The following is a 21,273-nucleotide window of genomic DNA, read 5'->3' as shown; positions in this document are numbered from 1 at the left end:
CAACAAGCTCACGTCATAGAATCCTGTGGTCTCCATTCTCCAAAACAAGACAATAAAAAAAATCTCATATTCGTTTCCAGTTCTCAGCAGCTGAACTCAACATGGAGTCTGAAACTTAGCATGGGGAAAATTAAATACTGATATCTGGCCAGATTTTCATTGACTGTTTTTGAAATAGTGGGTAAAATGTGCATGAACCATAGGTATTTAGAGAGAGCCTGCATGCTTCATAGTAAAGGATGTTATTACTTTTATACCAAACCGGATTGTTTTATACTTTAAATTTATTGGAAGTTATCTTCAGATACTAAGACATACAACACATGGGGTGTTTAATATCTAAGCCAAGCACGCCAGGTCTTTGGAACAAATGCTCTGAAATGCAATATAAGTTCAAGATGTTTTAGCAGGTGGGCCATTGTGCCTCATTTAACTTCCCTTAAATCCTTGAAATAGGCAGACAATAAAACAGTGATTGCCTTAATTACTTTATTGTGTATGGTAAATTAAAATGAAATAGATAAATTTGGGTGCTCAACAAAAAAATCTCTGGCTGCTTAGTTGTTGGCCATTTCTGGATGTTTGCTAGAGCAAACAATAAAAAATTCATTTCACTAAGTAGCTAATTTCATTTGACCTACCTACATCTATATTTATATATGCTCATTCAAATTTACTTTTTTTGAAAAGTTCTTTTAGGGAACTATTCTTCTCTCAGTGTTTTACATTTTCTGTCTCCATAGAATGATCAAAATAATCTGGAAATGCAAAACAAAAATATTACATAGTAATATTTCATTTCCATACCATTCTTAATGTTTGTGGAGAGGGCCTGTATGTAGTAATACTATTGATGTACAGATACTCTGTAAACAAGGCTTTGTGTGATTGCCAGTGACTCGGTTTATAGTCATATTATAATAAGATAGAAACTGGAATATAAAAGTAAGTTGCTCCTTTAGATCTATAGGCCTCGGCCTTGGTGTAGCTGTGGCTTATGAAAGGTCCATGAATGGAGAAAAGCGTTGTGAGCTGGTGTACATTGTGTATACGTCACTGCATCATTTACAATTGGCCCCTCGCTAGGTATTTTGACTGGCCAATATGTTCCTTAATCTATAGTTAAAGTTTAAAAAACCTATTTAGGCTTTTTGTTTCATACCAGTATTGCTCTTATATAAGGCTACATAAGGTAAAAACTGTTTCAGAAACAGAATCTTTCAGCACAGAATGCAATAAAACTTACAAAAGACAATGTTCCATAATAATAAACTTATATTCTATTTTCAGCTACTTTTGTTCAACTAGAGAGCTTATATGTTGCTTTTTATTTGAAGATAAAAAATATTCTAGCCTGGGAGCACTGGCTCACACTTGTTATCTCAACATTTTGGGACGCTGAAGTGGGAGAATTGCTTAAGGCCAGGAGTTCAAGATCAGCCTGGGCAGCATAGTGTCTCTCTCTCTCTCTCTCTCTCTCTCTCTCTCTCTCTCTCTATATATATATATATATATATATATATATATGTATATACACATCTATATCTATACATATCTATATATATAGAGTCACTATTTCAGTTGTGTATATATATACAATTGAATATATATATATATATACATATATATATATATATATATACACACACACACACACACACACACCCCTATCTATCTATACATAGGTAGAAAGAGAGAGAGAGAAACCAAAGATCTCTCTCTCTCTGTATTTAGAAAACCCCAAAGGCAGCTGTCACAAGCAAACAAATATCTATGTTCTGAAACAGGTCCCTGTTAGGGAAAGCCCTGTGCTAGCTGGAATGAGGTCTGATGGACCACCCAGTTTCAAGGCTGGGTGAGTCATTCTTTCAAAAACAAACCCTTAAAAATAAAATACATTTGTATAAGGGCCTTGTGCTACCCTAACTGCAGAAATTTAAAATGCAATCACTGTTAGGGAAAGCCCTGTGCTAGAAGAAGTCAATGTTTATTTACTTTTATTATGACCCATTATCTTTACCAAATAACTTTTATTATAAAGAGCCCATGTAAAGCATAGATTTGTTGGAAAGTAAATTACAAAAAGTACCAGCAGAATAAAATGTCAGACAGAAAATTACCAAACTCCATCATTTTCAGTCATTATATAGGTTATATATTGTATAAAATGTTATATATATAAATACATATTATGAAAAATGTCAGAAAATTACCAAACTCCATCTTTTTCAGTTATTATATAGGTTATATTATATGTATTATATAGGTTATATATTATATTCCATTATTATATGTGATACAGCTAGATATATAGGAATATATTCATTTATTTTTCATCTTCTCTCCAGTGACTTGTCCTTCTAACTATGATTCTACTGTCTGTCACAATGAGTACAGGTCTGTATTTCCTGGCTCCTTACTATCAGTCTTTTCAACAAGTCATTATCAAATGAATGAATGAACCGATGTACACCAAAATACTAGACTATATATATTCTATCTCTCTGTATTTAGGATCTCTCTATATATGTATATATGTATACATACACACATATATCTATATCTATTCTGTGTATATATCCACCATGCCCAGCCAATTATGGTGGGGATATATAAACATATAAATATACATATATTTATAACATATATATTTATATGTTTTATACATTTATATTTATATATTTTCTCTATATATAGAGACAGAGGGAAAGAGACAATATATATATGTATATACTAGTATAATGCATTTTATAATATTGTGCTTAAAAATAATTGTATATATTTATAGGTATCTGATAGTTACCTTAAATAGCTAGTTGAAAAGAATAACAATAGATGAATATTGCGTTTCTTGGTGCTAAAAGAGTTTTTATTATTTATATATGTTGTAATTTGTGAAACAGACATATAGGCATGCAATGTTTATGAGTTTTTTGTCTTTAAATTATGTCATCCTGAATTATTTGAATAACCATAAAAGAATAAATAAAATGCAGTATAACTTACTCATGGAGCTCTCCCACTTAATAAACATCACTAACCCGCTGGAGATAAAATAAAAAATATATAATTCTGCTAAAACAGGAAAAGTCACAACAGAAAATGAGAAATGTCTGAATCAAACTAAGTTTCCTCTTTCCAACTGGAGAGACATATTTTGTGTTCACTTGGACAATGTGTAGAACCAGAGATCAGCTAGGTCTATATCACAACTGAAAACGATGGAGTTTGGTAATTTTCTACCTAACATTTTATTCTGCTGGTACTTTTTGTAATTTACTTTCCAATATATCTATGTTTTACACGGGTTCTTTATAATAAAAGCCATTTGGTAAAGATAATGGGTCATAATAAAAGTAAATAGACATTTACGTCTTCTAGCAATCAAAATAATACTGAATATCTTCATTTATTTATCATCATCTTTCCTGTGACTTATCCTTCTAACCATGATTCTAGTGTCTGTCACAGTGAATACAGGTCTGTATTTCTTGAGTTTCTTACTGTCTATCAGCCTTTTCAACAAGTTGTTATCAAATGAATGAATGAATCAATGTATACCAGATAGACTGTTTATATATATATAAAAACATTATATATTATATATTATATATATAAAACATTATATATTATATATAATATATATATAAAACATTATATATTATATATAATATATATATAAAACATTATATATTATATATAATATATATATAAAACATTATATATTATATATAATATATATAAAATATTATATATTATATATAATATATATAAAATATTATATATTATATATAATATATAAAACATTATATATTATATATAAAACATTATATATTATATATTATATATAAAACATTATATATATTATATATAAAACATTATATATTATATATTATATATAAAACATTATATATTATATTATATAAAATATTATATATATATAAAAAACACATATATTTGTTTAAAATTATTGTTAATCTTCAGTAATTCCAAGACTGGACATTTTAACTTCTGTCTCTTTCACGATAATCATCAAGATTAAAATAATTTTGAACTTAGAGGCCAACGCAGGCCGATCACTTGAGGTCAAGAGTTCGAGACCAGCCTGGCAAACATTGTGAAACCCCATCTCTACTAAAAAATACAAAATTAGCTAGGAATGATGGCGGGCACCTGTAATCCTAGCTACTTGGGAGGCTGTGGCATGAGAATCACTTGAACCCGGGAAGTGGAGGTTGCAGTGAGCCGAGATCACACCCCACTGCACTCCAGCCTGGGCAACAGAGCGAGACTCCATCTCAAAAAAAAAAAAAAAAAAAAAAAAAAGGATGTAGTGGAAAGGAAAGTACTTTGAACTGTGAGTAGAGGATCCTGCATTTTAGTTTATACTTTCTCTGGCCCTGTAATCTTGGACAGATCACTAAACTTGTCTAACCTTTAGTATCTTTACCCATTTTTAGAAAAGAAAAAAAAATATAGCAATAATTATTAATGTACTTCTGCTTCTTAAACTCTAATAAATTAAGTAAAATTTTACCTAATATGAATTATTCCAAAGCCCTTTTCAGAAATAAAGCATTAGTTAATTCATTGCTTTATTGGTTCAGCAAGAATTTGAGAAGGCCTACCCTACCCTGGGCCCTGGTTTTATATCTCTTCTAAATCAAAAGTAGGGGAAAGGGCTAGACACTGACTCCTTTGCACCCATTGTATTCATGTTACTCCAAATCCTAAGGAACATGTCATTCCACTAGATATTGCTACTGCTGTCACCTTACTTACGGGAAGCCAGGTGAGAGACGCATGTACTGCACCACACGTTCTGGTTTCAGGGATGAAGTATGTTCTATGCAGATCTGTGAAACAAGTGGTTTAACTGTGACACAGGTAAGTCAGGGTTTGCAGTCGCTGACCCTATCAATAAGTCAGTCAAATTAAAACTGATGTTGAATTCCTTGTTTCATTTTATACAGCCAATCTGATTTTAATAATTGGCTGGAACTCCAAAAATATTAAAACACCATCACAAAATGGTAAACGTTTAGAAACCTTTTAGGTTGAGATGAAATGCTGTTTTACTAAAATAAAAAAAAAAATTGATGGTAATAATGCTGAAAACAGTAAACAATCAGTCTTAAAGTCTCCGATCTCTGTTATGGGATAACAGACTTGTTCTCTTTGGTCAGGTTAAACCCTCACATGTCCTGCAGATGAGCGATTGTATAATTCTAATACTTCAGATTTCATTAAAATGAGTATACCAGGAATAGCCAATAAATTGGGTGGGGAGGAATTCGGAACCTTGATAAGTCTGGTTTTAAGATGGAGAATAAACTTATCTCACACAGATTTGCTGTACATTTATTCTGGAGTGTATTTGCAATATAAAATGAACTTTTAAACCCTTAAAAGAAATGATTACAAAATCATGAAGTTACATAGCTCAGTAAGGTCACCTGACTTCACTGCATGGCTAGAAGATGTCATGTATCATTGCCCTTAATCACAAACCAGACTCCACTGGATTCTGTGGTTTGCTCATAGGTCAGGCCTGTCATACACGTGGTGTGGGATTCTTCTCCAGCACAGATGCATTCTATTTTATATTAATAAAATAACCCTGCCTAATAATAATAATGTAGTACACAGATGCTCTAAGGAATTAAATGAACTGCTTATTGGTATACTCAGAACTCAAAGCATTTCAATGTACAGCTTTTCATTTGCCCTGTAACTATTTGTTATTTCCAAACACCTCATTCTCTGCAGTAGCACTTTCAAACACATTTATAATGAAATCCTGAGAAGGTAATTCATCAAATTGCAGTGTGAATTGGAAGAGGTTTTATAGCAGTTTTATTGGAAAGAAGACGTTCAAAAAACAAAAATGAGTAGTATGTTCCAAAAAAAAATCAACTTTCCTGCAAAAGAAATCTCAAAGCTCTTTAAAAACAATTGACTAAGCAAATGAGAAGGACACTGTCTGATGAGCTGTGGCTCACTCCAGGCCCCAGATGGTCAAAATGGCCCCACTGTGAGAATTGCAGCGTGCTGATGTGGGCATCAGGGTATAAATAAAATCCAAGGATTTCTGAAAGGTTTTGGCCTCTTTCTTATGTTTCATTATTTATTTAACAAATGTTCAAATGTAGACTACACATCCCTTGGCCACAATTTTCCATAGATTAGCTTTTAATTTTCAGCCAGTGGTCTTACCTACTGCTGGTCTTAATATTGAAAGTAAACAGTGATTCTGATTGGAATGAAATGCTATGGCAGTAGTTCATACTGGGATCACTTTCTGCAGATGTTTTCATTTTATTTTCTGTTTACTCAACCTTGCAGAGAAGCCAATATTAGTAACATACATGATATAATTCAAGATTTTTTTTGACTGCAGAAACCATTTGAAAGGGTATCAAATTACATTGAAGGTTACATTTATATAGCAAAATTCCATGGCCAATTTATGCAAAATGAAGGGAAATGGTTAGCCTATATGTTTCATGAGGTATTTGTGTAACCACTCTCCATGTTTTAAGAAAATAACACTATGACTGTATTTATATATATGGTTACCAGGGAATTTAATGTTAATGACTAAATCTGTACTTATTTTAAATTCTAGGAGAACTCAAATTCTACCATTTGCAGAATAAACTCATTTAAAGTATGTGTTACTGGCAGATTTATAAACACATTTTTCTGATATGTTATTTTTCCACACTGTCATATTTCCACAAATTTCAAAATACAATGTCTATAGAAAATATTCGACTCTCTACCAAAAATGTCCAAAGTCCAAAATACAGTATTCCACAGCATACAACACCAAAGTGCAATAATATAGAAGAAAAAAATCAACGCTTTAGTAAGCATACAGAGTTTGATTTCATTCCTATATTTTACTCCCATTATGGAGGTGCTTTTATGATTTTATGGCAAAGAAATTAGTTTCATGCCACTAACAATCTTTAAAATCATATTTTGTTATTTGTGTGAAATTTTTATCTAAACCAATAAGCTCTCCAATAAAGAGAAACTATATATGTATGGGTGTGTGTGTGTGTGTGTGTGTGTGTGTGTGTGAGAGAGAGAGAGAGAGAGAGAGAAACAAAGCAAGAATAAAATATTTTCTTCTGTGACTAGCTATGAGTATTAATATTCACCTAAATATTTTTTTCTAAAGATCCACAACCAAGAAGATAATAACATACAATTCATACTGACTTCTTAAAGATGCTCTTTATTAAACCTACTATTTAAGCTGATTTACAAAGTTGTATTTTCACAAACATGTTAAAAACAACGTAAAAGCAGGACTATTTTCACATTCTCTGTTAGAAACACAAGTAGTAAGCTTTTTTTCTTAAGTGTCTTTTTAACGAGTAATTTTCTTTCATTTTTTTTTCTTTTTTAGCAGACAGTATTTACGTGAATTTTATTCTGGAGTTCAGATAATTTTCTCTTTCTTAATAGGTAACTAGTCAAAGGCCATTTGTAACACTAGCAAATGAATAATGTGCCTTCTAAATCTCTCTTTTGAGATTATTAACTGTTTACTTACGAGTATAGATTACCTTTGTAATATTTCAGGACTCATTTAGCCCACTTTCTATTTAAAAACATCCATCATTGTTTTCAAAGTACTATGATAGCATCGTGATTCAATTTACAATTCTAAATAGTGTTATTTTCACACTTTTTCACCAAAGGTACTCAAAGACATAAAGAGAGCTAAACAATTCATCAATTGCCTATGTCTATAATGATACAGTGATTATTCCAACTCTCTCATTTTTTCTAGTTGATATCATTGTACACTAGTTCAGCTGTGTACAGAAAAAATGCACATCATATCTTTCTCCATTAGCAAACACTGCACAAAAAGGGTTACAGTTTATCTTTGTGAAGATTTCTCTTAGGAGCTTTTAAAAAAGTGTGAGCCTAGGCAGAAATGCATATAGCTATGATGTCTGCGTTCATATTTGTAGCAAGATTCTTTTTAATGTACCTATTAGTGTGAGCTAAACAGTTTGAATGTTGAAAGGAAGTGGCATGCAATTGATGTATAGTTCAACAGTCAATGGAATGCAGAGCTCATTAAATAGAATACATTTTATATCGCATCTTGAGTTGCAGATAGTTGAAACCTCGGTGCTTACATATTTCCAACATAACTATGCTAGTTAAAAATAAAGAATTAAGTCTACACAAAATCTTTACTCTCCTTCACGTAACTCACCACTCATTAAAATGTGGGCAACTGAAACTTTGCATTCGGCCTCAACATAATGTGATGATTTTATTTAAGGGAGAAATTTGACTAATTTACAGTAGTTACAAATTATAGTCGTGTTTAATGAGTGCAAATTATCTTCTAAAAGATGCGACATTACCGCAGATTCTGTGGTGCCAACATTTCTACCCAAACACAGAGGAAAGGGATGGTTCAAAGTTGGCCCCAGGGGGAGTAAATTGGGTTCTTGCCTAGGGCACATATTTTGGAGTAGGCATGGAATTCAAGCACTTACTATAGGTATTGCTGTCCGTTTCATCTAATCACCTGCGGCTGTCTTTGCAGAGCTTCCAGGAGGCTGCAAGACTTCATGCTTAGAAGCTTCATCAAGACATCCTGACATGAGCTGGATATAAGGCGCCTCAGGGCAACCTTGAAGCGGAGTGAAGGTTATTGTGGCTAAATGAATAAAGCTAGACAGAAAAACTGTCGGCAGCTTATATAAGGAGCAAGGTGATTCTTGGTGGTTTCAGGCATAAAATTTTTAGGGGAAGTGGTCGCACAGACATAGGATTAGGTGTCTCAAATCTAAGCTGACTTTTTCTCCCACAATTGCTGTATTTATTTTTGCACTTAACAGTGTGGCAATATTCATCTATAAATTAATCTATTACTTATTACATATTCATGGATATTACATATCTACTGAAACAGGAAATTTCCCTTGGCTCCTTCGTGGGAGGGAACTGGAATGCGAGTGCTGGAGCTAGCCAGCTGCTTTGGCACTGGCAGGGGCAAACTCCATTCACTTGAGCCCTCTGTGCTCAACCCCTGACAGGAGGGAGTATGCAGGTGAGCAGGTGCAGGAGCCAGGGAGAGCGCTTTTGGGTGCTGGCAGAAACGAACTCCATAGTGGCCTCGTGGCAGCATCCAGGGGGTGCCATGACCCCTGAAGTCCCAGAATGCACGTTACAGTGCTCTTTTAGCTCTGCCACGTCCATGGACAGCTAAAGTGTTAACAGCTCAGTGGGCCCTCTGCCTTTTTGTGTGAGGTGGCTACTTTCTGCCAGCAAGGGCAGAGGGTCAGTGTGACAGCCTTTTGCATCCACACCCGTGGTACTTGAGCTCTTGTTCGGTGTCCAGGAAAAATCAGATTGCACAAATAAATTGAAGGGTGGTGAATGCAGAGGATTTTATTGCTGATGGAAGTGGCTCTCAGCAGGAAGGGGAGCTGGAAAGGAGATGGAGTGGGAAGGTGATCTTCCCCTGAAGTTTAGCGGTTTCCAGCCAGATTCTTATCCGAAGTCACGCTGTCAAGCTGTCCCTCTGAAGGCAAGCTACTTCTCTCCAACATCCAACCATAGTCTCTGACATCCATCTGCTTCTCCTCTTCTCCTCTCTCTGCCAGCAGAGCCTGGGGTTTTTATGGGCACAGGATGGGGGATGGGCTGGACCATGGGTGGTTTTGGAAAAGGCAGCATTCAAGTGGGAAAACAGGAATGTACGTTCTCACTTTGGGCTGCGGTTCCAGGCTGGAGTGTAGGGCCCAGAATTTCCCTGCCTCCTGTCCCTATCACTATTGTATCTTAGATATTCATGGATCCTAGGATCATGTATCCATGTAATCCAGTACAGAACCAATCTAATCCAGAACATTCACTGAAATTATTACCCTGTTACTGATTTCAGTCTTAAAACAGGGGGCAGGTAATACATGTCATTTTTAAGTGGTTATTTTAATGAAAACATGCACTGAATTGGGAATTACTATGTAAAATTTCTGCCACTTTTAGAATTCAAATACAATAAATAAAACACAACAACTTAATGTAATAAAATCACTATGAGATAAGTTATCACAGGGAAATAACTAATACTCAAAATGCAAAGAAAATTTTTGATTTTTTTCCAATGCTTTTGCATCTGACCTTTAGTCCTTTAGTACCAATTTAATAGGTTCAAAGTAACACACACACACACACACACACACACACACACACACAAAGATAACGGTGACTTATTTCTTATCCCATAGCTCAGGGATCAGCTTTTGTAAACTTGGAGAAGGAAACTGTGGGTTTATGCAGAGTTAAAGGTCTTGTAAAGCTGTTTTAAAAGGGACTTTGAAACTAACCATTCACAAACCCAAGAAATGCAAGAAGTTTCTTTGTAAAATAGGTGTAGAAGTGTATTGGAGATGACAGTTGTACAGGATTCCAGCTTGAGGAAAGCAGTTCTCCCCTGGAGCTAAGCATACATTTTTGTTGCTTTTGGAGAAAAAAAAAGAAAGATGGGGATAAAAGAGGTGCTATTGTACCTGATCTACACTGACTGAGCTGTTTTAGGGCTCAACAGAAAGTTAAACTTACTATGGTGTGTTTCCCCCGCCAACACTTTTATTTCTGTTTCTTAGGTAAATCAGAAATACAGAGTCATCTTTTCTTTCTGTTCCCTCTACCACCGAATTACTCTTTCTAATAATTACTATGGTTTAACAGAAGGAATTAATTAGACCAGATAAAACTACCAATTTCAGAGGTTATCATTTTTTTTGACATGAGGAAAGAAGTTGGTAAGGCATTGAAAATACAAACGTTTAGCATCATAGTTTCTGGTAATAATGACTCACATATTTAACATTACTCAAAAATATTCCAGGAAAAAATATATTACTATTCCCTCTTTCAATCAAACAGAAAGATCTGAATTTTGACAAATGCCAATGGCCTTAAGTGTTAGACTGTGACTTTTTGTTGAAAATTACTTACGTATTTGAAAAATTATAGATCCTAACAATCATACAGAAAAATAGTAAAAACTAATGTTAGCAACAGGCTAGGCACTTTATTAGGTATTTTCCACATATGACTTTATTAAATTCTCATAACGACCCTTTGAGATAGGCAATATTTATTACAGTATCTGCTTTTAAAAGATGAAAAATCTTGATCTCAATGAAGTGGAATACTTGCAAGTGGCTTTGAAGAAATGCACATCGTGCAAACTTTTTGTGAAATTTCAAACGGCAGAACACTATCACCAATTATGCATCAGGTTAAAATAAAACAACAGCAACAACAAAAAGACTCACTGGGATTTAAATATTCTGAAACATGGGAGGGAGGGAGAAGGCAGGTGTCACTTTCGGAAAATGTAAGCAGAAATTAGGTAAGGAATGTAATAAGCATTATAATTAGCAACACTGGATTCAACATGCAAGTGCCATCAAAAAACAAATAATTTCTTAGTTAAATATAAATTATATTAGAATATTAAAAAAAGATATCAAAATTCAGCAAGTATTTTGTAATACCTTTATAAATGTAGATAGGTAACAGACATGTTTACAAATACAACAAAGCTCAGGTTGTTAATGTTAACCAATTACAGGGCCAAGCACTGCACATACCAACACCACTTCATACGTTAGCAAAATATCCCAGGGAGAGATACTAGATGCAATCAACAACCAATAACGAGCAAGGGAGAAAGAGAAGCAAGTGGAGGAGGAGGAGAAGAAAGAGAAAACATGGCAGTTATGCTCTGCATATGCACACGCATGAGCCTGTGTGACCAGGGTGCTTTTAGAGATAAAGAAAAACTAAACCTCCAAAAAGGGCAGAACGACTCTAGCAGAATTAATGGGTAATAATAAAAGCTAATCTGTAGAAAGACAGCTGCATAATACGAACTAAAGGACTAAAGTATTCTTTAGTGGCTGTATAAAAGTATTTGTGAGGGCCGGGTGTGGTGGTTCACGCCTGTAATCCCAGCACTTTGGGAGGCCGAGGTTGGCAGATCACGAGGTCAGGAGATCAAGACCATCCTAGCTAACATGGTGAAAACCCAACACTACTAAAAATACAAAAAATTAGCCAGGTGTGGTAGCACATGCCTGTAGTCCCACCTACTCGGGAGACTGAGGCAGGAGAATAGCTTGAGGGAGAGGTTGCAGTGAGCCGAGATTGCACCACTGGACTCCAGCCTGGGTGACAGAGCGAGACTCCGTCTCAAAAAAAAAAAAAAAAAGTATTTGTGAGACATTAGACATAGATAACAAATGAGAATATAACTTTCGTTTTATTAGAGCAATGGGAAGTATACAAGAAATGTTTTAAGTGTATGCATTCACCACGCAGTTTTACCTCTTCTGCTTCATTTGAATAAAACAGCAGCCACATTAACAACTGTGAAATTGATTTTTTAAATTATGAAAATTATAAATATATTTATACGATCACTACTAAATTAGAATGATCCCCAAAATTTCAGTGACAAATATAAGTAAATATAAAAAGAAAGGTGTGAGAAGCTCAGTTCACATCTTATGTGCAAAATACATTAACTACGATTCATTGTATTGATTCCTGTCTTAATATACACAACAGTGATCTCAGCATTCATTCTGCTCAAGTAATTACTACCAATCAGGAGTCTGGCAAAAATAAGATGATCATATATAGACACATCTGGGCATCCCTTTTTGTGTTTAGCAAAAGAGCTCATAACTTAATGGATTCATCAGCCTGCGTTAAGTCCACAGGAGTTGTGTTCACTCTCTAACATCCAAGAGGAGCCAGCTAAGTGCTTTTACTTTGGTGTTACTTATGAAAAAGAGATAATTAATGAACCGATTTGCCCAGCATGTTAAAAACAATGACCACAAAAAATTCCTCAGATCTCTGCTTCTTACCACTTGATTATGTTTTATCATGAAAGTGATAATACATAAGATTGGCTTCATGCAAATTCAAAATTCACTGATTGTTTTCTACAACCATTAAAGTATAACAAAATGTTTGGTGCAGATAGACATATTACAACTTTAAAATAGAATATTATTTACATCATCATTTGTCACAAAGTGAAAAGATGCATATTGTCAATTAGTTTTCAAGAATCCGTTTTTCTTTTATAAAGCTGCTGTGAACCATGAACTTAATCTTTAAAGATGTTTCAGTGGTAATCTGCTACAGTCTCAATGTTTGTCCCCTCCCTGGAACCCCCCAGATTTCATGTGTTGAAATCCTAACTCTCAAGGTGATTGTGTTAAGAGGTGGGGCATTTGGGAGGGTGATTAGGTCTTTAGAGGCCCTCCTAAATGAGATTACTGCTTTCATAAAAGAGCCCCAAGAAGCTCTATCACCCCTTCTACTGAGGACACAGCTAAAAGGCACTGTCTGTCAACTGGGAAGTGGGTCCTTTACTGGATACTAAACTTGGATTTCCCAGGTCCAGAACTGTGAGAAATAAATTTATGCTTATTTATAAGCCACACAGTTTATGGTATTTTGTTATAGCAGTCACAAATGGACTAAGAAATACACCATCATAACTCCTTTTCATTTTAAAATTTTTATTATTATTATTTGTTATAGAGACAGGGTCTAGCTGTGTTTCCCAAGCTGGAGTGCAGTGGCATGATCATAGCTCACTACAATCTCCTGGGCTCAAGTGATCATCCTGCCTCAGCCTTCCAAGTGGCTAGGACTAAAGGTGGGCCTCGCCACCATGCCTATATAATTCACCATCATCCTTCTCCACGTTTTATATACCACACAAAATCAAATCAGGCAAATTAAAGAAAAGTCTAATGGGAGATGGTTCTTTAACACCTCAAAAGGCAGTGCTTATACAGCAAAAGATATGGTCATTAGACCAATTGAACTTGGGTTCAAAATTTGGCTCCACACTTTGGCAATCTTGAGCAAGTGAATGTAAGTTTATTCAGTTTTTCTTAAAATTTAAGAAATACTATGTTATTTCTTAATTATAAAATAAAAAGAAATAATATGTACATCTCATTCATTTAGCATTCAACGAATGCTAACATCTAGCATGTGCCAAGACACAATTATTGACACAGTTTTGAACATGGCAAAACCCCGCCTCATGGAACTTATGATGTCGGGGAGAGGGACTGCATGTATATGTGTGTGTGTGTGTATATATATATGTGTATATATATGTATATATGTATATACACATACACTTATATATACTGCATGTGTATATATACACACATAATTCGCATATTTATAATGTTAGAGATGAATGTAATGAAGAAGTCAGTGATGAGAGTGATGGTATTCATGGGTGTTGCAAACTATGTTTAAATTCTCTACAAATATTAATATTTTTTGTGTTTTCTTTTATCCTTTCCTTTTCATTTCTCTCTTCCAAGGCTTGTAACTGAGATTAAATACACATACATGCACACCCACAGGCTGGATGCTGACTGTGACTATTTCAGTGGGTTTCACTGTATTTTAAGAGTATTTTCCTTAGGCTAATTTTGTTCCTCTGTAAATATGTTGTCATTCTATTTATTGTTGCTCAAGCATATTGAGTTTAAAAGCATACTCTAGTTTTATATCCTCCTTTCCATGTTTACTGATACTTCTCCCTCAATATTTTAGTGTGTGTATGTGAAGGTGTGTAGTTTGTGATTTTTATAAATTAGTTGAATTTTGCACAAGAGAATTAACTTTTACTTCTTAAACAATATTTCCTGTTCTATTAACGTCATTTTCTTTCTCTTAAGCAACAATACTTATCTTTCACCATGGTCCTCTTAATTTTTTTTCCAAATTTTATCTTTCCTTTTTAAAAACTGTTATTGATGACATCAACCACAATTCTTAATCACCTGAGTTTGCCAATGTTAGAAGCCAACATTGAGTTGATATAATTATAAGAAAAATCCAAACAACATATCACTCATTTCAAACTTCACCATTGTGAAGATTAAATTGTATATATATAAATATATATAAAAATATATATAAATATATATATTTTTATATATATATATAATTAGAACACAGCGGGGCACATTATAGGTGCTCAATAAATCTTAATTAGCATCTTTTCTGTACTATCTGAGCTCTTGCAACAGCTTTCCAACTTGGTTTTCCAACTCCTAACTATCACAGGTCACCTCTCTAAAATATGAATGTAGTCTTATTACCTCCTTTAATGTTTCTTTATCGTTTTATCATAGAACACAAAGCCCTTAGCTGGAGAGTCACTTCCAGGTGAAACTATTGCCACCCTCACCGCGCATTTCCAGTGGTGATAATGCTGTATTACAAATTATCTATTCATTTTATCTCCCTCATTACACTGTGAGCTACTCATAACAGGGAACAAAATTCATTCGCTTAGTAGGTATTCAGTAAACATTTGGTAAATGAGGGGCCAGTTGATTGATTGGAATGAGTCAAATATGTGCCAACTTCTGGTTGCAGGGCAGACATGAACTTAAAAAAAAAAAGTTTTGAACAACCTGTTTCGTCGAAGGTCTCTTTTGCCCAAAATTACTTGTTTAAACAGCATATTTTCCTGAAATACTTTGGTAGTTTAAGGTGTGTTTGCTCTAACTTTGGTAGTTTAAGGTGTGTAGCTATCTTTCATAGCTTCGTGCAGGAGTGTTTTTTTGTTTTTGTTTTTTGACAGAGTCTCTCTCTGTCGCCCAGTCTGGAGTGCAGCAGCGCGATCTCGGCTCACTGCAAGCTCCACCTCCCGGGTTCACACCATTCTCCTGCCTCAGCCTCCCAAGTAGCTGGGACTACAGGCGCCCACCACCACACCCGGCTAATTTTTGTATCTTTAGTAGAGACGGGGTTTCACCGTGTTATCCAGAATGTTCTCCATCTCCTGACCTTGTGATCCGCCCGCCTCGGCCTCCTAAAGTGCTGGGATGGGATTACAGGCGTGAGCCACCGCGCACGGTCGAACTTTTTTTTTGAGACGAAGTCTTGCTCTGTCGCCCAGGCTGGAGTGGAGGGTCTCAATCATGACTCACTGAAGCCTCCACCTCCTGGGTTCAAACGAGTCTACTACTGCCTTAGCCTCCCAAGTAGCTGGGATTACAGTTGCACAACAGCACGCCTGGCTAATTTTTATATTTTTAGTAGAGACAGGGTTTCACCATGCTAGCCGGGCTGGTCTCAAACTCCTGACCTCAAATGATCTGCCCGTCTCGGACTCCCAAAGTGCTGGGATTATAGGTGTGAGCCACCACGCTCGGCAGCAGAAGTCATTTTTAACAAGCACTATCATCCTGCTTCCCTCACCTCTCCCTATTCTCCTAATAGATACATGGCCTTCAAAAGCACATACAAAATTTTTCCCAAGTGCTGCTTTGCCACATTCTCATTTAATTTACACTTCTTCCCCTATGAAGAGCAAAATCCTCACACCGGCATTTAAATACCTTCCCAGCATGGTGCTCTGTTTTCTTGAGATTGTGGTCTGCTATGACCCTCAACTCCAGGGTTTCGTCACCAGCGACTGTCTGCCCTAAGTACACCTTGCTCATGCTTTCCTCCAATGTCTGATGTGTGCTATTGCTCATGCATTGGTATGGCAGATGTGAGGCTGGGCCACCCATATCTTCCTTCAAGTAAGGACTTGCTCCCTATCCATGGTTAATATGATCAGCGACCGTCTCCAGGTCTCAAAAACTTCAGGGACAGCCTCAGCTGCAGAAGGCCAACTAGGCCAAGGTCAAGTCCTTTACACTCCTGGTGATCAACCCAGGAAGAGTCTGAAGATCCACTTTGGCCTGATGCAAGATGCTATGATGGGACATGCAGGTTCCTGACATCTTGCTGGGTTGGCTGAGGCTTTGTCAGGCTCCTACCATGGTTTGACTCCTCCCACTGCCCAATCCTGCTTAAGTGTACATTCCAAATAAACATCCTGAGCCCCAAACCCCATCTAAGCCTCTGCTTCCAGAGAACCCAACTGACAACAAGTGGTCTTCTATATCTTCTCTTCTGCCTGCATCATCCATCAGTTAATAGCCAAATCATTTTCCAGGTCTCTCTCGACCGATATGGCCCAAGTTGAACCTATTCTAGTCTACCCTTTACAAGCGCTTCCTACCTTCCAATTCATTTTGAAAAACAGTTTCTTTTATTCTTAGTAACCTTTCTCTCTCTTTCTATCTCTCTCTCTCTGTGTGTGTGTGTGTGTGTGTGTGTGTGTGTGTCTTTCACTTATCAACTGAAGCTGTTCTATTAACTTCTTAGAGTTGGGGTCAACTCATTCTTTTCCTTTCTATCCATAGCATGAAATATACTTCTAAGGAAGAAGTACGTAACATTTACTGAATGGAAAGTAACATATTTTAGAGAACACATACATTGATGATTTCTATTTGGTTCCCCCCACTTTTGTATCAGTGATATCTAAGATAATTTGGTTAATCTTAATTTGAAAAAGAAAGAGCAACTTTATATATTTTTTACTATATACAATTTGAGTGATGCATTTTTCTGGAACTTTGATAAGGGAAAACATTTAGAGTTTAGAACTATTTTACATTCTTGTTTCAATATTTGCATATAAACTGAAGCATGATTTTTAAAACCTCAGAACCAGGGGTAAAATGAAATGCCTATTAATGTGAAATCAGCACTAAATAATGTACTAAAATGAAGTCTAAACAAAACACCCGCAAACACACCAATATCTCCAAATTATATTTAACAGAAGCGATTCTGTTTGGTTGTGATGTGGCAAGTCAAATTCAGGTCTATAATCAAAGTATGTGTTAAGTTACTAAAGATATTTCAGGTGGCTGTTATTATGAATAAGAAAGGTACACTTAACTGCCAAGTAATAAATCTCACCCTCAACGAGATGAGATGGCTCACTAATTGCTTCTAACAGAAACAAGCAACTTTTTTCTTTGCTGTTTCTATGAAAACGTGGAAGATTAAGGGAAATCTTTATTTAGATGTTTGATTCTCACTCAATTCCTTTAAGGTTTTCAGTTAAATCTAGAAATTGTGATGTAAGTTGGTATATACTGAAACCTTAAAAAAAGTTTGCAAGAATCCTGGCTTCTACAAATGTACATGAAATTAAATTAAAAATCTCTTGAAAATAATATAAATGTGCGTTCTCAGAAATGAAAATCTACTTCAACTCCCTACATGTCCTTCTGTTGATTAGAACACTACTGTGCTTCAGCTGTGAGAAGTTTCTTTTATTCTTTTAAGAGCTGAAACGCACGCACACACACATGCTTTTTGTCCTTGAAACTCTGTCTCTGATTGCATGTTGTTGAGGAAATAGGAAGTTTTTGGCATTTTAAAAACTGTTGCCTTTTTTCTTCCTTGCTATTTAGAATAGTGTGATATTTGCATTAAACCTTCCTCCTTTTAAGATTAGTAAACTAATGTATAATTTTAATCCTTTGGATACCACTTTCTTTCATGGAAAAATAGGTTTTTGTCTGAGATATATAGTTTGCAGATAACCTGTGTGTTCGTTTCTTTCTATAAAATACTCTTACTTCAAGGCAAAGTAAGCTTAAAAATGTGCTTAATGGAATAACTGATTAGCTGTTGGTCGTTCTATGGCAGAACTGCATTTGTATTGGTAATCACTTATTCACACACAAAATTAAAGCTTAGACTAGAATCTGAAAGCTGTGATGAAAAGCCCACCTCAGACAATCTTTTGAGCATACAGAAGAAAAATTTATTTGTTCTCCATTGACACTTTGTCTTTGGAAAAGGAGTAAGGGTCCAGAAATAAGCTAAAAGAATAAATATATTTGATATAGTATTCTATGTAAGAGACTCTCAAAAGATAGATATTTTTGCTATCTTCACAAACAGTATACCATGTTTTCTAAAATACTTTACCTGAATGTTGTAGTCCAGAGGAAGGAGAATTTCCCCTGAGATAAGAGCAAACACACTCTTTGAAAGTAATCCCAGGTAGGAGGATTAGAAGGATAACTTGAAGCTTCATTTCTTTTATCTCATCACATCTTTGCTCCCTCACAGGAGTATAAGTGATAAATTCTGTTTAAAATAACACCATATTGGAGCTGCACAAACTAAAGCAAAACTTCTGCCCAACCTGTTTTGGGCAACAGGGAAAGAGAGACTGTCCCTCACTCACTCTTGGAAAGTTTATATTATATGGGAGACTGACACGCCCTGTTTTTTTTTAGACTATGTGCTTGAACCCGGAAAGAGTGGGGCACGGCCAATTTGAAGTGGGTGATTTGAATGCTTTAGCAGAGCAAAGATGTGTTTCATTGTAAATCATACCAGGAAAGATACAGTAATTCCACAATCGCAAGGATTTTTCAGAATGTTAAGACTTAGCATTAAGGTAGGAGAGGGTGGTTAAAAGATGCATCTCATCCTTCATGCTCAGTATTCTCTTCTTTAGAAAGAGCAGCAACTGGATGGCACAGAATGAGTTCTGACGTTTACATCAGAAGATGGCCCTGAACCGGAGCCAAAGCTGGCCGAGGAGCTGGGGGAGATTCTGAGACTCACACTTTCATTTGTGAAGTGAGATGCTGACTCTATTGTTGGTTTTGTTTGGGGGTTTGATGCTGAAATAAAGCAATACACACGAGGAAATTTACTGGCATTGTATTAAAAAACAAAGTTAATGTATGATGATGCCGTAGAGTGATTCATGAATGGCATTATGAATATTTTAAAAACACAAAAGGAATTAAAAGAGTATACTTGGATGTTAATGAAAATAAAATTTCATTGAGAACAAGAATCTTGGTAAACATCAGTTGATATTAAAAATTTATTGCTTTTAAAGGAGTCTGAAATGTTCTTTTGTCAAGGTTAATGCATTAAAATGGGGTACAGCTTAATCTAGACAACACAAATTTTAATGTGTGATTATTTTATAAGCTCTAGGTTGAAATAATTTTTATCTACATGGGAAAACTGAATAGATTATAAAAATTGTTTAAAAGAAAGAGAAATTTCAGATGTCAAATATGTGGGAAACTTAATGTCATTTTATTAACTAGAGATAGAAAATGAGGTACATTAGTCTTAGACAGTATTTAGAGCAGTTAATTGCTAAGTCACCAAAACAATCTATTCTACAATGACCTTACTTTTAAAGTAGTTCCATGGCATGAACTCAAGGACATTACTGCAGCAAGGTTCTTAACAAATCAGTCATATTCATTGCATTTAATAATCTATTAGGGGCCTTCACTAGAGCGAACAACTAGCATTTCTTTTAAACTCTTCCATAATTCAGATTTTATCAATGTGGACTAACCCTGTGGTCAATTAAATCTGAAGTAGTGCAGTTTTTATGTTTTCTGAATATATTGGGCCTGAAAGCAAATATTATTTTATGATATGTTAATAACACAAGGAATTTTACTAGTAATATTTAGTGGAGCATAAAGGTACCTAAGGCTCTGTCTATTTGCACAGTAGCAGAACGGATCTAAGAACGATTCCAACCATAACTCTTAGTCAAACACATTAGCACAGTCCATTTACATAGTAGAATGCTCAGTACAGACCTAAGAATATTCTTTAAAGTTACAGTTGGAATATTTCTCCAAAATGTCCTTAGAAATGTGTATACATGCCAAGTCTGAAGTACGAATTACAAATTATAATGTGGCTCTAATTTGTTATCATCTGAAAAAAAAATCTAATTTGTAACAGAAGAAAAGTTTTGTTTCAATCTAAACTCCTGAGGACCAATTCAAAAGAATGAGAAGCTTATTGTTTCCTTGAAATTATTGACCATACATTTTAAAACATCAAAATATTCTGAAAAATGTCTGTAGTGGTCTCAACATCTGATTTAGTTTAGAATCTTGGCAGACAAGCATAAGTGCCAAAATGTTCCAGATGACCAGTTAGAATGCAGGGGATCCATAGAATTACTCTTAATGATGCAAAGTACAAATAAATCCCTACAAAATAAAAAGAAATTTATTCCTTTTATTTGTAGCTTATGGATACCTGAATGCTGTTTTACTTTGCTTCCTAGTTTCTTTTTCCTTGTGTAACTTCATACATTCAGAATATGAACTCATTTTCTATTTTCTGTGTGATTCTTTCATTAAGATCAAGATCTCTCTTTTTTTTGTTCAAAACTTGCATGCTGCTATCCATAGTTAAGCAATTGATAAATGTAACTTTTACATGATAAGATTATTATAGTATCAAAAATGTAAATCAATTTTTGCTCTAAATTATTATAAATATCCCTACTTAGCC

The 21,273-nt window shown here is 35.0% G+C and overlaps 1 long non-coding RNA gene across 1 annotated transcript in view; it reads left to right on the top strand.

Moving 5' to 3' along the window:
- LINC00290 (long intergenic non-protein coding RNA 290) overlaps positions 1-19,833 on the top strand; it is a 95,061-nt gene extending 75,228 nt beyond the window's left edge. The window contains exon 3 of the long non-coding RNA NR_033918.1: positions 19,442-19,833. This is a non-coding gene — a long non-coding RNA (long intergenic non-protein coding RNA 290). The remainder of the gene's footprint in view (positions 1-19,441) is intronic.
- Positions 19,834-21,273: the final 1,440 nt, after the last annotated feature.

Source organism: Homo sapiens, chromosome 4 (assembly GCF_000001405.40).
Source record: "Homo sapiens chromosome 4, GRCh38.p14 Primary Assembly".
Taxonomy (NCBI): domain Eukaryota; kingdom Metazoa; phylum Chordata; class Mammalia; order Primates; family Hominidae; genus Homo; species Homo sapiens.
This window is presented reverse-complemented; position numbering and strand designations above follow the sequence as displayed.